The 17,769-nt window shown below is 38.3% G+C and overlaps 1 protein-coding gene across 21 annotated transcripts in view; it reads left to right on the top strand.

Moving 5' to 3' along the window:
- Positions 1-17,769, top strand: part of FBXL13 (F-box and leucine rich repeat protein 13) — a 263,608-nt gene that overhangs the window by 108,762 nt on the left and 137,077 nt on the right. For all 21 annotated transcript variants that reach the window (NR_105043.2, XR_927410.4, XM_017011850.3 and 18 more), the window contains one exon: positions 2,370-2,502. Coding sequence is in view for 19 of the 21 variants with exons in the window: in XM_017011850.3 (XP_016867339.1) it covers positions 2,370-2,502 (133 nt within the window). In the remaining 2 variants the exon portion in view is untranslated. The remainder of the gene's footprint in view (positions 1-2,369; positions 2,503-17,769) is intronic.

Raw genomic sequence — 17,769 nt, 5'->3', positions numbered from 1 at the left:
GCTAGAGCCCCTGAAACCTTCTCAACTCCTTTTAATTTCTTTGAGTTAAGTTTTAGAGCTTCTACAAAATGGCACCAGTCCCCCTATTCATAGGTCAGTCTGAGCACGTGATATCATCAGTCCTTCAATCATTAGCAATAAGGAGGGGTCGTGAAGTCAGCTATTGACTGGACTTTAGACAACACGGAAAATGTTGCCACTGAACATTGGTTGATGGCATAAATGACCACGTTTGTTGATATTAAAGTATCTTACAAGAAACAGATAAGAGAAGTTGTTGGGGGACGTATGCTTATTTGCTTATTTTTTATTGTTGGCTGAGTCCTCTCCCCAATGTCTCTTTGGAATGAGAAACACAAACATGTTTCAGGTTAAAAAATAGTACTGTGGCAAAAATAGTACATAAGCGCCAGCCTAGGATTTCATATTAGAAATTGCCAGAGTGTATGTGTTTCTGCATGCATGCAGACACACTGTCAAATATGACTTATGTGTTGTGTATTTTAGTCCTATTCCATGCTTTTTAAAATTTATGTACTCCATATTTTGTGTGCTTTGTCATGTATTTTTGAAGTAATAATAGTAGCTAATATTTATTGAATGCTTTCTTATATGCCAGATGCTACACTAAGTACTTTATTTGCATTTTCTCAGTTTGTCTCTGCAGCCTCCTGAGTTAGGCACTGTTATTTTTCCCATTTTACAGATGAAAAAAAACTAAGCCTTAGTTAAGTCATAGCCAACATGGTTAAATGGCTAGGATGGGATTCAAATTCTGATTTGTCAGACTACAAAGTGTGTGCTCTTAATTATCAACTATTTATAAGAGAATGCCAGGTCTGCCATTTGCCTTTCCCCTAACTAGCAGCATAGAATTTCTCCTCTTAAGGTTCTTTTACAATGATATAACTTTGAGCCCTGAGTCCCAACTCTCATAAAATGCTTGGCATTAACGAGTAATGTTCATGAAGGGTTCGGGTCCAGTAAGTCCTCTAGATACTGTGCATTTTGTCCCTGAATTGAATCAGCCAATCAGAGAGCAGCATACTTGGACTCTATTGCTTTAGATTTTCTCTTTCTGAGTTGTGCTTTTTTGCCCTGAATTCAGCTTTTGTCCAGTGGTCTGTTGTATGGAAGTCACTCAATTTATTTAATCTGTCTCCTATCGAAAGACATTTAGGTTGTTTCCTATCTTTCGTTAATAAAATCCTGTGGTGAATATCCTGTTTCTCAGTGTTGCATTGTATACATGTATGATTACATCGGCAGAATAAATTCTTAGAAGTAGAATTGTTAAGGCAAAGGTTGGATTACATTTATAATCACAAAAGTGGCCAGGCATGGTGGCTCATGCCTGTAATCCCAGCACTTTGGGAAGCTGAAGCAGGTGGATCATTTGAGGTCAGGAGTTTGAGACCAGCCTGGCCAAAATGGTGAAACCTCGTCTCTACTAAAAATACAAAAATTAGCCGGGCATGGTGGCAGGTGCCTATAATTCCAGCTACTTGGGAGGCTGAGGCAGGAGAATCACTTGAACCCAGGAGGCAGAGGTTGCAGTGAGCCAAGATCGTGCCACTGCACTGCAGCCTGGACAACAGAGAGAGACTCAGTCTGGAAAAAAAAAAAAAAATATATATATATATAGTCACAAAATTGTGTGGAGTTATGGAGTACCTTTTGCCCCCAAATTTCCTTAGCTCTATCTATTTATTTATTTTTTTTTTGAGTTGGAGTTTTGCTCTGTCACCTAGGCTGGAGTGCAGTGGCACAATCTCAGCTCACTGCAACCTCCACCTCTCAGGTTCAGGCAATTCTCATGCCTCAGCCTCCCAAGTAGCTGGGTCTACAGGCGTGTGTCACCACGCCTGGCTAATTTTTGTATTTCTAGTAGAGACGGGGTTTTGCCATGTTGGCTAGGCTGGTCTTGAACTCGCAGCCTCAAGTGATCCGCCCGCTTTGGCCTCCCAAGGTGCTGGGATTACAGGCATGAGCCACCGTGCCCGACCTCATTGTGGTTTCAATTTGCATTTATCTGATAATGATGTGGATCATTTTCTCATCTATTTCTTGGCCACTTGTATTTCTTCTTTTGAGAAGTATCTGTTCATGTTCTTCGCCTATTTTTATGGGGTTGTTTTTGCTTGTTGATTTAAGTTTCCTATAGATTCTGGATATTAGGCTTTTGTTGGATGCATAGTTTGCAAATATCTCTCTCATTCTATAGGTTGTCTGTCTTCTCTATTGATAGTTTCTTTTGCTGTACAGAAGCTCTTTAGTTTAATTAGGTCACATTTGTCTATTATTGTTTTTGTTGCAATTGTTTTTGGGGACTTTCTCATTTCTTAATGCATTTTGTTTATTCTTTTTAGATTGATTTTTCCTCAGTGAAAAATGTGATTCCAGATAAATATATAGTGTCTACTTTGCAAAGGTGGCGTTTAAATGTGCTGCGTTTGAATTTTCGTGGTTGTCTTCTCCGACCCAAAACTTTCAGATCTGTCAGTAAGTATGTTCATTACAACTATTTGTCTTGCTTTCCTGTATTACAATTAAACAAATATACAGAAAAGCATAGATTAAAAAGGAAACTTCAGTGACAGTTTTAGGTCATAAGGATACCAATTATAACCATTTAATAAGTGTATAATATAGTGCAGCTCTTACTGTATTGCATGCCCTGGGAGTTGGTTCTTTGTCTATTCTTTTTTTTTTTTGAGATGGAGTCTCACTCTGTCTCCCAGGCTGGAGTGCAGTGGTGCGATCTTGGCTCACTGTAACCTCCGGCTCCTGGGTTCAAATGATTTTCGTGCCTCAGCCTGCCGAGTAGCTGGGACTACAGGCATGCGCCACCATGCCTGGCTAATTTTTTGGTATTTTTAGTAGAGACAGGGTTTCACCATGTTGGCCAGGCTGGTCTCAAACTCCTGACCTCAAGTGATCCACCCGCCTCGGCCTCCCAAAGTGCTGGGATTACAGGCATAAGCCACTGTGCCCGGCTGGTTCTTGGTCTATTCTTTTTTTTTTTTTTATATATATATATATATATATTTTTATTATCCTTTAAGTTTTAGGGTACATGTGCACATTGTGCAGGTTAGTTACATATGCATACATGTGCCATGCTGGTGTGCTGCACCCACTAACTCGTCATCTAGCATTAGGTATGTCTCCCGATGCTATCCCTCCCCCTTCCCCCCACCCCACAACAGTCCCCAGAGTGTGATATTCCCCTTCCTGTGTCCATGTGATCTCATTGTTCAGTTCCCACCTATGAGTGAGAATATGTGGTGTTTGGTTTTTTGTTCTTGCAATAGTTTACTGAGAATGATGATTTCCAATTTCATCCATGTCCCTACAAAGGACATGAACTCATCATTTTTTATGGCTGCATAGTATTCCATGGTGTATATGTGCCACATTTTCTTAATCCAGTCTATCATTGTTGGACATTTGGGTTGGTTCCAAGTCTTTGCTTTGTGAATAATGCCGCAATAAACATATGCGTGCATGTGTCTTTATAGCAGCATGATTTCTAGTCCTTTGGGTATATACTCAGTAATGGGATGGCTGGGTCAAATGGTATTTCCAGTTCTAGATCCCTGAGGAATAGCCACACTGACTTCCACAATGGTTGAACTAGTTTACAGTCCCACCGACAGTGTAAAAGTGTTCCTATTTCTCCACATCCTCTCCAGCACCTGTTTCCTGACTTTTTAATGATTGCCATTCTAACTAGTGTGAGATGATATCTCATTGTGGTTTTGATTTGCATTTCTCTGATGGCCAGTGATGATGAGCATTTTTTCATGTGTTTTTTGGCTGCATAAATGTCTTCTTTTGAGAAGTGTCTGTTCATGTCCTTCGCCCACTTTTTGATGGGGTTGTTTGTTTTTTTCTTGTAAATTTGTTTGAGTTCATTGTAGATTCTGGATATTAGCCCTTTGTCAGATGAGTAGTTGTGAAAATTTTCTCCCATTTTGTAGGTTGCCTGTTCACTCTGATGGTAGTTTCTTTTGCTGTGCAGAAGCTCTTTAGTTTAATTAGATCCCATTTGTCAATTTTGTCTTTTGTTGCCATTGCTTTTGGTGTTTTAGAAATGAAGTCCTTGCCCATGCCTATGTCCTGAATGGTAATGCCTAGGTTTTCTTCTAGGGTTTTTATGGTTTTAGGTCTAACGTTTAAGTCTTTAATCCATCTTGAATTGATTTTTGTATAAGGTGTAAGGAAGGGATCCAGTTTCAGCTTTCTACATATGGCTAGCCAGTTTTCCCAGCACCATTTATTAAATAGGGAATCCTTTCCCCATTGCTTGTTTTTCTCAGGTTTGTCAAAGATCAGATAGTTGTAGATATGCAGCGTTATTTCTGAGGGCTCTGTTCTGTTCCATTGGTCTATATCTCTGTTTTGGTACCAGTACCATGCTGTTTTGTTTACTGTAGCCTTGTAGTATAGTTTGAAGTCAGGTAGTGTGATGCCTCCAGCTTTGTTCTTTTGGCTTAGGATTGACTTGGCGATGCGGGCTCTTTTTTGGTTCCATATGAACTTTAAAGTAGTTTTTTCCAATTCTGTGAAGAAAGTCATTGGTAGCTTGATGGGGATGGCATTGAATCTGTAAATTACCTTGGGCAGTATGGCCGTTTTCACGATATTGATTCTTCCTACCCATGAGCATGGAATGTTCTTCCATTTGTTTGTATCCTCTTTTATTTCCTTGAGCAGTGGTTTGTAGTTCTCCTTGAAGAGGTCCTTCACGTCCCTTGTAAGTTGGATTCCTAGGTATTTTATTCTCTTTGAAGCAATTGTGAATGGGAGTTCACTCATGATTTGGCTCTCTGTTTGTCTGTTGTTGGTGTATAAGAATGCTTGTGATTTTTGTGCATTGATTTTGTATCCTGAGACTTTGCTGAAGTTGCTTATCAGCTTAAGGAGATTTTGGGCTGAGACAATGGGGTTTTCTAGATATACAATCATGTCGTCTGCAAACAGGGACAATTTGACTTCCTCTTTTCCTAATTGAATACCCTTTATTTCCTTCTCCTGCCTAATTGCCCTGGCCAGAACTTCCAACACTACGTTGAATAGGAGTGGTGAGAGAGGGCATCCCTGTCTTGTGCCAGTTTTCAAAGGGAATGCTTCCAGTGTTTGCCCATTCAGTATGATATTGGCTGTGGGTTTGTCATAGATAGCTCTTATTATTTTGAAATACGTCCCATCAATACCTAATTTATTGAGAGTTTTTAGCATGAAAGGTTGTTGAATTTTGTCAAAGGCTTTTTCTGCATCTATTGAGATAATCATGTGGTTTTTGTCTTTGGCTCTGTTTATATGCTGGATTACATTTATTGATTTGCATATATTGAACCAGCCTTGCATCCCAGGGATGAAGCCCACTTGATTGTGGTGGATAAGCTTTTTGATGTGCTGCTGGATTCGTTTTGCCAGTATTTTATTGAGGATTTTTGCATCAATGTTCATCAAGGATATTGGTCTAAAATTCTCTTTTTTTGTTGTGTCTCTGCCTGGCTTTGGTATCAGAATGATGCTGGCCTCATAAAATGAGTTAGGGAGGATTCCCTCTTTTTCTATTGATTGGAATAGTTTCAGAAGGAATGGTACCAGTTTCTCCTTGTACCTCTGGTAGAATTCGGCTGTGAATCCATCTGGTCCTGGACTCTTTTTGATTGGTAAGCTATTGATTATTGCCACAATTTCAGCTCCTGTTATTGGTCTATTCAGAGATTCAACTTCTTCCTGGTTTAGTCTTGGGAGAGTGTATGTGTCCGGGAATTTATCCATTTCTTCTAGATTTTCTAGTTTATTTGCGTAGAGGTGCTTGGTCTATTCTTGACTACTCTTTTGGGGTCTAGTATTTGTATTTCTATGGATCATCAATTTTTTCTACTAAAAAATATAAAACATATTCTTATTTTTAAAAAACTAACAATAGACAGTAAAACCATCTTTTTTCACTTCCCTCAAACCTATTCACTTACTCAAAGGCATCCAATGTTATTAGTTTTCTGTTTTTCTAAAATACATTTCTATATATGTGATTAAAAATACACAACTTTACAACATGAGTCATATTGTTTTATATTTTCTTTTATGTCCTGAAAATCTTTCCATGTCAGTGCATATAGATCCACTAAATTATTTTTACATACTGTAAAATTATTTTCTATGTTATAGATGTAACATACTTTATTTAACCTTCTTCTATTTGATGGACATTGAGATTATTTCCAATTTTTTCCAGACTGACTGCTTTGTACTTCCATTGTGATATTTGTCTTTAACCTATATATCCTTTAACCTATATATCCTTTGAGATGCGTTTTCTATCTATCATATAAGTATTTCTGGAAATGAAATAAACAATATATTTCAAAAATGTATACATTCATATTGACTCCAGATAGAATGTCATATACATGTACAAATACCAGTTGGAGAAGTCTAAAGATATTAAAGGGTAAAATGAAGTTGCATGAGAGAGCTATATATTATATATAAAATCTAATACCATTTGTATATAACTTTTCAATTTGCAAAATTATATATATTTTTACCTTTTATTTTGAAATAATTTCAAACAATATATATTACTATAGATTTTTAAGTACACACACATATAGTGACATATAAAAAGCATGCATGAGAAAGAAAAACTCCAAACGCAAGACAGTGGTTGTGCAAATAGATAGAATTTAATGGAATGGGGAAGAAGTGCACAAGGAGTTTCAACTGTGTCTGTACATTTTTTAGTGAAAAAAAGAAATTATGCAAAATGGAATAATTCTGATTGATTATTGCTGGTGCTACACAAAGCAGTAGTTTTTTATATGATGTTATTGTATCTGACCATGTATTAAGCTCTCTTCTTGGTTTTAATAGCTTGTCAATTGATTCTCTTGAATTTTCTAGGTAGACTGTCATATCTGGGAATGTTGACAGTTTTATTTTCATTCATGCCTATTCCTATATCTTTTCTCTTTTTCTCATTTTATTACATTGTTTAGGACCTTTTTTGCAATGTTGAAAAGTAGCAGGGATATGCAGGAGTCTTGTTCATGTCTCCTTTTTCATATTTTTCATGAAAATAATGTTAATATTAATACGTCTTTTAATTTCTGGGATACATCCTGTATGTGGATATAATGCTGTTTTCACCTTTACAGCAGCTGTGTCCTGCATGTTCCTCATTCTGTCTGGTCACATCCGCCTTTGGATTTTTAGGAACTGTTTGTTTCTGATCCACCAAGGCCATTCTTGCTTTGTCTTCACGCATGTTATACATTTTTGAAAAAAAATTCATTCTTGGATTTTGGGCAGGTGAGAGAAGCTGAACATGTGCTTAGTCTGCCATTTTTAACCAATTTATTATGTTTGTAGTAATAAAAAGTTAATAAAATAATTATAAACCTTAAAGTGTTAGCCACCCAAATTTGCTCTCTCTGTCTCTGTTTTATTATTATTATTATTATTATTATTATTATTATTATTATACTTTAAGTTCTAGGGTACATGTGCACAACATGCAGGTTTGTTACATAGGTATGCATGTATCATGTTGGTTTGCTGCACCCATCAACTCATCATTTATATTAGGTATTTCTCCTAATGCTATCCCTCCCCCAGTCCACCACCCCCAACAGACCCCACTGTGTGATGTTCCCCGCCCTGTGTTCAAGTGATCTCATTGTTCATTTCCCACCTATGAATGAGAACATGCGGTGTTTGGTTTTCTGTCCTTGTGATAGTTTGCTGAGAATGATGGTTTCCAGCTTTATCCATGTCCCTGCAAAGGACATGCACTCATCCTTTTTATGGCTGCATAGTATTCCATGGTGTATATGTGCCACGTTTTTCTTAATCCAGTCTATCATTGATGGGCATTTGGGTTGGTTCCAAGTCTTTGGTATTGTGAATAGTGCCACAGTAAACATATGTGTGCATGTGTCTTTATAGTAGCATGATTTATAATCCTTTGGGTATATACCCAGTAATGGGATTGCTGGGTCAAATGGTAATTCTAGTTCTGGATCCTTGAGGAATCACCACACTGTCTTCCACAATGGTTGAACTAATTTACACTCCAACCAACGATGTAAAAGCATTCCTATTTCTCCACATCCTCTCCAGCATCTGTTGTTTCCTGACATTTTAATGACTGCCATTCTAACTGGCGTGAGATGGTATCTCATTGTGGTTTTGATTTGCATTTCTCTGATGACCAGTGATGATGAGCTTTTTTTCATGTCTCTGTTGGCTGCATAGATATCTTCTTTTAAGAAGTGTCTGTTCATATCCTTTGCCCACTTTTTGATGGGTTTGTTTGTTTTTTTTCTTGTAAATTTGTTTGAGTTCTTTGTAGATTCTGTATATTAGCCCTTTGTCAGATGGGTAGATTGCAAAAATTTTCTCCCATTCTGTAGGTTGCCTATTCACTCTGATGGCAGTTTTTTTCCCGTGCAGAAGCTCTTTAGTTTGATTAGATCCCATTTGTCAATTTTGGCTTTTGTTGCCATTGCTTTTGGTGTTTTAGTCATGAAGTCCTTGCCAATACCTATGTCCTGAATGATATTGTCTAGGTTTTCTTCTAGGGTTTTTATGGTTTTAGGTCTAACATTTAAGTCTTGAATCCATCTTGAATTAATTTTTGTATAAGGTGTAAGGAAGGGATCCAGTTTCAGCTTTCTGCATATGGCTAGCCAATTTTCCCAGCATTATTTATTAAATAGGGAATCCTTTCCCCATTTCTTGTTTTCGTCACGTTTGTCAAAGATCAGATGGTTGTAGATATGTGGTGTTATTTCTGAGGCCTCTGTTCTGTTCCATTGGTGTATATATCTGTTTTGGTACCAGTACCATGCCGTTTTGGTTACTGTGGCCTTGTAGTATAGTTTGAAGTCAGGTAGTGCGATGCCTCCAGCTTTGTTCTTTTTGCTTAGGATTGTCTTGGCAATGCAGGATCTTTTTTCATTCTATATAAACTTTAAAGTAGTGTTTTCCAATTCTGTGAAGAAAGTCATTGGTAGCTTGATGGGGATGGCACTGAATCTATAAATTACCCTGGGCAGTATGGCCATTTTCATGATATTGATTGTTCTTATCGATGAGCATGGAATGTTCTTCCATTTGTTTGTGTCCTCTTTTATTGTGTTGAGCAGTGGTTTGTAGTTCTCCTTGAAGAGGTCCTTCACATCCCTTGTAAGTTGTATTCCTAGGTATTTTATTCTCTTTGCAGCAATTGTGAATGGGAATTCACTCATAATCTGGCTCTCTGTTTGTCTGTTAATGGTGTATAGGAATTCTTGTGATTTTTGCACATTGATTTTGTGTCCTCAGACTTTGCTGAAGTTGCTTATCACCTTAAGGAGATTTTGGGCTGAGATGATGGGGTTTTCTAAATGTACAATCATGTCATCTGCAAACAGGGACAATTTGACTTCCTCTTTTCCTAACTGAATACCCTTTATTTCTTTCTCTTGCCTGATTGCCCTGGCCAGAACTTCTAATACTATGTTCAATAGGAGTGGTGAGAGAGGACATCCTTGCCTCGTGCTGGTTTTCAAAGGGAATGCTTCCAAATTTTGCCCATTCAGTATGATATTGGCTGTGGGTTTGTCATAAATAGCTCTTATTGTTTTGAGATACGTTCCATCAATACCTAGTTTATTGAGAGTTTTTAGCATGAAGGGCTGTTGAATTTTGTCGAAGGCCTTTTCTGTATCTGTTGAGATAATTGTGTGGTTTTTGTTGTTGGTTCTGTTTATGTGATAGATTACGTTTATTGATTTGCATATGTTGAACCAGCCTTGCATTCCAGGGATGAAGCCAACTTGATTGTGGTGGATAAGCTTTTTGATGTGCTGCTGGATTCGGTTTGCCAGTATTTTATTGAGGATTTTTGCATCGATATTCATCAGGGATATTGGTCTAAAATTCTCTTTTTTTGTTGTGTCTCTGCCAGGCTTTGGTATCAGGATGATGTTGGCCTCATAAAATGAGTTAGGGAGGATTCCCTCTTTTTCTGTTGATTGGAATAGTTTCAGAAGGAATAGTGCCACCTCCTGTTTGTACTTCTGGTAGAATTCGGCTGTGAATCCGTCTGGTCCTGGTCTTTTTTTGGTTGTTAGACTATTAATTATTGCCTCAATTTCAGATCCTGTTATTGGTCTATTCAGAGATTCAACTTCTTCCTGGTTTAGTCTTGGGAGGGTGTATGTGTCCAGGAATTTATCCATTTCTTCTAGATTTTCTAGTTTATTTGCATAGAGGTGTTTATAGTGTTCTCTGATGGTAGTTTGTATTTCTGTGGGATTGGTGGTGATATCCCCTTTATCATTTTTTATTGAGTCTATTTGATGCTTCTCTCTTCTTTATTAGTCTTGCTAGCAGTCTGTCAATTCTGTTGATCTTTTTAAAAAAAAAACTCCTGGATTCATTGTTTTTTTTTGAATGGTTTTTTGTGTCTCTATCTCTTTCAGTTCTGCTCTGATCTTAGTTATTTCTTGCCTTCTGCTAGCTTTTGAATTTGCTCTTGCTTCTCTAGTTCTTTTAATTGTGATGTTAGGGTGTCGATTTTAGATCTTTCCTGCTTACTCTTGGGGCATTTAGTGCTATAAGTTTCCTTCTACACCCTGCTTTAAATGTGTCCCAGATTGTGGTGCGTTGTGTCTTTGTTCTCGTTGGCTTCAAAGAACATGTTTATTTCTGCCTTCAGTTCATTATTTACCCAGTAGTCATTCAGGAGCAAGTTGTTCAGTTTCCATGTAGTTGTGCAGTTTTGAGTGAGTTTGTTAATCCTGAGTTCTAATTTGATTACACTGTGGTCTGAGAGACAGTTTGTTGTGATTTCTGTTGTTTTACATTTGCTGAGGAGTGCTTTACTTCCAATTATGTGGTCAATTTTAGAATAAGTGCGATGTGGTGCTGAGAAGAATGTATATTCTGTTGATTTGGGATGGAGAGTTCTGTAGTTGTCTATTAGGTCTGCTTGTTGCAGAGCTGAGTTCAGGTCCTGGATATCCTTGTTAACCTTCTTTCTTGTTGATCTATCTAATATTGACAGTGGGGTGTTAAACTCTCCCCTTATTATTGTGTGGGAGTCTAAGTCTCTTTGTAGGTCTCTACAGACTTGTTTTATGAATCTGGAAACTCCTGTATTGGGTGCATATATATTTAGGATAGTTATCTTTTCTTGTTGAATTGATTCCTTTACCATTATGTCATGGCCTTCTTTGTCTCTTTTGATCTTTGTTGGTTTAAAGTCTGTTTTATCAGTGAGTAGGATGGCAACCCCTCCTTTTTTTGCTTTCCGTTTGCTTGGTAGATCTTCCCGCATCCCTTTATTTTGAGCCTACCTGTGTCTTTGCACATGAGATGGGTCTCCTGAATACAGCACACTGATGGGTCTTGACTCTTTATCCAATTTGCCAGTCTGTGTCTTTTAATTGGGGCATTTAGCCCATTTATATTTAAAGTTAATATTGTGATGTGTGAATGTTTTCCTGTCGTTATGATGTTTGCTGTTTGTTTTGCCTGTTAATTGATGCAGTTTCTTCATAGCAGTGATGGTCTTTATAATTTGTCATGTTTTTGCAGTGGCTGGTACCGGTTGTTTCTTTCCATGTTTAGTGCTTCCTTCAGGAGTTCTTGTAAGGCAGGCCTGGTGGTGACAAAATCTCTCAGCATTTGCTTGTCTGTAAAGGATCTTATTTCTCCTTCACTTATGAAGCTTAGTTTGGCTAGATAAGAAATTCTGGGTTGAAAATTATTTTCTTTAAGAATGTTAAAGTGCAGTATTTGGGCAGCAGTGCCCCATTTTTCCAGGTAGTCTGTCATGGCTTCCCTTGGCTAGGAAAGGGAAATCCCCCGACCCCTTGTGCTTCCTGGGTGAGGCGATGCTCTGCCCTGCTTTGGCTTTTCCTGTGTGGGCTGCACCCACTGTCCAACCAGTCCCAGTGAGATGAACCAGGTACCTCAGTTGGAAATGCAGAAATCACCCGTCTTCTGCGTCGATCATGTTGAGAGCTGCAGACCGGAGCTGTTCCTATTCGGCCATCTTGGAACACCCCTTGTTTCTCTGTTTTTGTCTGTCCCTCTTTCCCTATAGGTATATGTGTATACACACATATATACACATATGAAATATACATAGAAAATATACTATTAAATACATCTGCATTTTCTGAAGGAAGGAAATGGACTCAAGTTGCAACATTCAGGGTTTCAGTTTGACCTAAGATTTTCATGATAGCAATGGTAGTTGAACAGTGGAATGAGTTTCTGAGAAATAGCAAGGCATGCTTATCTGGAAGCTTTTGTTTATTGAGATACATTTTATGTAACATAAAATTCACCTTTTTAACCATTTTAAAGAGTACAATTCAGTGTTTTTTATTATATTAACAATGTTGAGCAACCAGCACTATTTAATTCTAGACCATTTTCATCAGCCCAAAGAGGAAGCTCATACCCATTCTCCCTTTTTTTTCTTTTCTTACACAATTGCTCATTGAGGAAGCTCCCATATATTCCTACTTCACTGAGTGTTCTTATTATAAAAGGGTGATGGGATTTTGTCAAATGCCTTTTCTAAGTCAACTGAAATGGTTTTCCCCTCTTTCCTTCTATTATTATTGCGTATATTACATTGATTGATTTTTTTTTTCGTCTGTTGAACCACTCTTGAATGCCTGAGATCAGTCTTGCTTGTTCGTACATCATGGTGTATAATCCTTTTAATATGGTGCTGGATTCTCTTTGCTAATATTTTTTGAGGATATTTGCATCTATATTTAAAAGGAATATTACTCTGTAGTTTTTCCTTCTTGTGATGTCTTTGGCTTCCTTGTCAGGATAATATTGGCTTCATCGAATGAGGTAGGAGGTATTTTTTCCTTCTATTTTTTGGGAAGAATTTGAGGATTAATGTTTGGTTTAAAGTTTGAGGATTAAATGTTTGGTAAAATTTGCCCATGAAGCCATCTGGTCCTAGGCTCTCTGTTGGAGGGTTTTTTTGTTTGTTTGTTTGTTTGTTTGTTTTGAGATGGAGTCTCACTCTGTCACCCAGGCTGGAGTTCAGTGGTGCAATCTTGGCTCACTGGAACCTCTGCCTTCTGGGTTCAAGTGATTCTCCTGCCTCAGCCTCCTGAGTAGCTGGGATTACAGGTGCGTGCCACCACACCCAGCTAATTTTTGTATTTTGAGTAGAGACGGGGTTTTGCCATGTTGGCCAGGGTGGTCTAGAACTCCTGACCTCAAGTGATCCACCTGCCTCAGCCTCTCAAAGTGCTGAGATTACAGGAATGAGCCATGGTGCCTGGCCTTGTTGGAGGTTTTTTGATTGCTGATTTAGTATTTTTACTTATTATAGCTCTATTTAGATCTTCTGTTTCTTCTCGAGTCAGTTTTGGTAGTTCATGTGTTTCTAGGCATTTGTCAATTCCATGCAGTTTATCTAATTTGTTGGGGTACAACAGTTCATAATATTCTGTTATGATCCTTTTTACTTCTGTAAAGTCAGTACTAATGTACCCACTTTCATTTCTAATTTTAATAATATTAGTCTTTCCTCTTGTTTTCCTGGTCAGTCTAGGTAAAGGTTTGCAAATTTTGTTGATTGTTTCAAACAACCATTTGGTTCTTTTTTCATTGTTGTAAAAAATATGTAACCTAAAAATTACCATTTTAACCACTTTTATGTGTTCAGTTCTGTAGCATTAAGTATATTCACATTCTTATGCAACCATCATCACTGATGCATCTCCAGAACTTTTTCATCTCACAAAACTGATAGTTTGTACCATTAAGTACTAAATCCGCTTTTTGCCCTCCTCCTAGGTCCTGGCAACCACCATTCTACTTTCTTTCCATCTCTATGAATTTGATGACTCTAGGTGCCGCATATAAGTGGAATCAAACAATAATTGTTCTTTTGTGCCTGGCTTACTTCACTTAGCACAATGTCGTCAGGGTTTACTTATTTTAGCATGTGTCAGCATTTCTTTTTAAGGGTAAATAATATTTTATTGTATGTATATAACACATTTTGTTTATCCATTCTTCCAATAATAGACAGTAAAGTTGCTTCAGTCTTTTAGGTATTGTGAATAATACTACTATAAATATGGATATTCAAAAAAACCCTTATTTTTATTAATTCTCTATTTTCTATTTTCTATTTTGCTTATCTCCACTCCAATCTTTTTTTTTTTTTTTTTTGGAGAGAGAGTTTCACTTTGTTGCCCAGGCTGGAGTACACTGGCATGATCACAGCTCACTGCAGCCTCAACCTGTTGGGCTTAAGTGATCCTCCCACCTCCCACCTAAGTAGCTAGGACTACAGGTGGCCACACCTGGCTAATCTTTTTAAAAAAAAATTTGTAGAGACGGGCTCTGACTATGTTACCCAGGCTGGTCTTGAACTCCTGAACTCAAGTGATCCTCCTGCCTCAGCCTCCCAAAATGCTAGGATTACAGGTGTGAGCCACTGCACCTAGCCCACTTCAGTCTTTATTATTCTGGTTGACTTGGGTTTTGTTTGCTCTTCTTTTCTAGTTTCTTCAGGTTAAAAGTTAGGTTATTGATTTAAGAGCTTTCTTTTCGTTTTTTTTTAAATTAACTTTTATTTATTTATTTATTTATTTATTTAGAGATGGAGTCTCGCTCTGTTGCCCAGGCTGGAGTGCAGTGACATGATCTTGGCTCACTGCAACCTCTGCTAGTGGAGATGGGGTTTCACCATGTTAGCCAAGCTGGTCTTGATCTCCTAACCTCAGGTGATCCACCCGCCTTGGCCTCTCAAACTGCTAGGATTACGGGTGTGAGCCACTGTGCCCAGCCATAAACTTTATTCTTAAGAGAAATTTCAGGTTCTCGCAAAATTGAGCAGAAGGTATAGAGATTTCCTATATACCTCCTTCCCCCACACATACATAGCCTCCCCACTATCAACATCACCCACAAGAATGACACACTTGTTACAATTGGTGAAGCTATATTTACGCATCATTATCACCCAAAGTCCATAGTTTATATAGGGTTCACTCTTAGTGTTGAATATTGTATGAGTTTGGACAAATTTACAATGATAGGTGTTTACCATTATAATATTGTGCTGAGTAGTTTCATTCCCCTAGGAATCCTCTGTGCTCTGCTTGGTCATCCCCCCTCACCCTGCTAGCTTCTGACAACCACCAATCTTTTTATTGTCTATATAGTTTTGCCTTTTCTGGAATGTCATATAGTTGGAATCATACAGTATGTAGCCTTTTTGGATGGGCTTCCTTCACTTATTAATGTGCAATTAAATTTCCTTTATGTCTTTTCATGGCTTGATAAATCATTTTTTTAATGCTGAATAATATTCCATTGTCTGAATATACCACAGTTTATTAATTCACCTCTTGAAAGACATCTTGGTTGCTTCCAAGTTTGAGCAAATATGAATAAAGTTGTTATAAACATTTATGTGCAGGTTTTTATGTAGACATAAGCTTTCAACTCCTTTGGGTAGATACCAAGGAACATGATTGCTGGATTATATGGTAAGAGTATGTGCTGTTTTGTAAGAAAGTGCCAAACTGTCTTCCAAAGTTGGCTGTACCATTCTGCATTCTCATCAGCAATGAATGAGAGTTCCTGTTGCTCCACATCCTCATCAGCAATGAATGGGAATTCCTGTTGCTTTACATCGTCATCAGCATTTGGTGCTGTCACAGTTATGGATTTTGGCCATCCTAATAGGTGTGTGGGGGTATCTCATTGCTGTTTTAATTTACATTTCCCTGATGACATTTGTTATGGAACATCTTCTCATATGCTTCTATCTTTCTGGTGAGGTGTCTGTTAAGGTCTTTGGCCCATTTTTAACCAGGTTGTTTTCTTATTGTTGTGTTTCTGTTTTTGTTTTTGTTTTTTTTTGAGACAGAGTCTTGCTGGTTCGCCCAGACTGGAATATAGTGGTACAATCTTGGCTCACTGCAACCACATCTCCCCAGTTCAAACAATTCTCATGCCTCAGTCTCCTGAGTAGGTGGGATTACAGGTGTGCACCACCATGCCTGGCTAATTTTTGGACTTTTAGTAGAGACGGGATTTCGCCATGTTGGCCAGGCTGGTCTTGAACTCCCGACGTCAAGTGATCTGCCTGCCTCAGCCTCCTGAAGTGTTGGGATTACAGGTGTGAGCCACCATGCCCAGCCTGGATTGTGAGGTTTTAACCACTATACATAGGATGTATATGTTTGTATATGTATCTGAGGTCAAGATAGCCTGTAAACATTTTCTTTCTTTAAATTTTTAATATTTTGTAACTAAAATATATTTCACGCAGTATTTTTCTGGAAGTGTACTTCTTAGTACAATTGTCTTCATCACAGAAACAACTGAGCATTCAAGCCTGAGTAGACCTTGATTTTTTTTAAGGAAGCAAATGTAATGTCTGTCTTATCTTGGTAATATTTTTAATTTACTGAAAATTATTTAATCAAACCCATTTTAATTCCAGAAAACTTGAGTGTGTCAAAGATAAAAACCATTCTTAACACATGGACACATAGAGAGGAATGATGGACACTAGGGCTTACCAGAGGGTGGAGGGTGGGAGGATGGAGAGGATCAGCAAAAATAACTAACATGTACTAGGCTTAATACCTGGGTGACTAAATTATCTGTACAACAAACCCCTGTGACACAAGTTTACCTATATAACAAACCTATACATGTACCCTTGAAATTAAAATAAAAGTTAAAAAAAAATTCTCAGAGATGTTTTAGCTTTTCCATTGTCTCTCCTGCCCCACTACCAACCCCTACCCCAGCTAAGATCAGTTCCTCTATTGGTGTGTCAAGAATTACACACATTTCTGGGAAGATTGGTTTTCTGACTGTTAGATTGAAGATAAATATTGGCTACTCTTTTGGGCTGTTTGGCTGATTGAACACAACAGTTGTAATCCTTATACCAGTAAAATTTTAGAAAATTAACTGTAGAATGTTATCTTAAAATATTTAAGGCTGGGCACAGTGGCTCATGCCTGTAATCCCAGTACTTTGAGAGGCCAAGGCACGCGGATCACTTGAGGCCAGGAGTTTGAGCCCAGCCTGGCCAACATGGCGAAACCTTGTCTTTACTAAAAATACAAAAATTAGCCAGGTATGGTGATGTGCAACTGTGATTCCAGCTACTTGGGTGGCTGAGGCACGAGAATTGCTTGAACCCATGAGATGGAGGTTACAGTGTGCCAAGATCATGCCACTGCACTTCAGCTTGGGTGACAGAGCGAGACTGTGTCAAAAAAAAAAGGCTGGGCGTGGTGGCTCACACCTGTAATCCCAGCACTTTGGGAGGCCAAGGCAGGCAGATCACAGGTCAGGAGATCGAGATCATCCTGGCTAACATGGTGAAACCCCATCTCTACTAAAAATACAAAACATTAGCTGGGTGTGGTGGCGGGCACCTGTAGTCCTAGCTACTCAGGAAGCTGAGGCAGGAGAATTGCTTGAACCCGGAAGGTGGAAGTTGCAGTGAGCCGAGATCATGCCACTGCACTCCACCCTGGGCGACAGAGCGAGACTCTGTGTCAAAAAAAAGAAAATAAATAAATCCTTAAAAGGCAGATGAGGGCACAGACTTAACAGAATTCAGACAAGTAGATCCTCATTACTGGCCGGGCGCAGTGGTCCTGTAATCCCAGCACATTGGGAAGCTGAGGTGGGCGGATCATTTGAAGTCAGGAGTTTGAGACCAGCTTGGCCAAC

The sequence above is a fragment of the Homo sapiens genome, chromosome 7 (genome assembly GCF_000001405.40).
Source record: "Homo sapiens chromosome 7, GRCh38.p14 Primary Assembly".
Classification (NCBI taxonomy): Eukaryota; Metazoa; Chordata; class Mammalia; order Primates; family Hominidae; genus Homo; species Homo sapiens.
The sequence above is the reverse complement of the archived record's forward strand: the minus strand, read 5'-3'. Positions and strand labels throughout refer to the sequence as shown.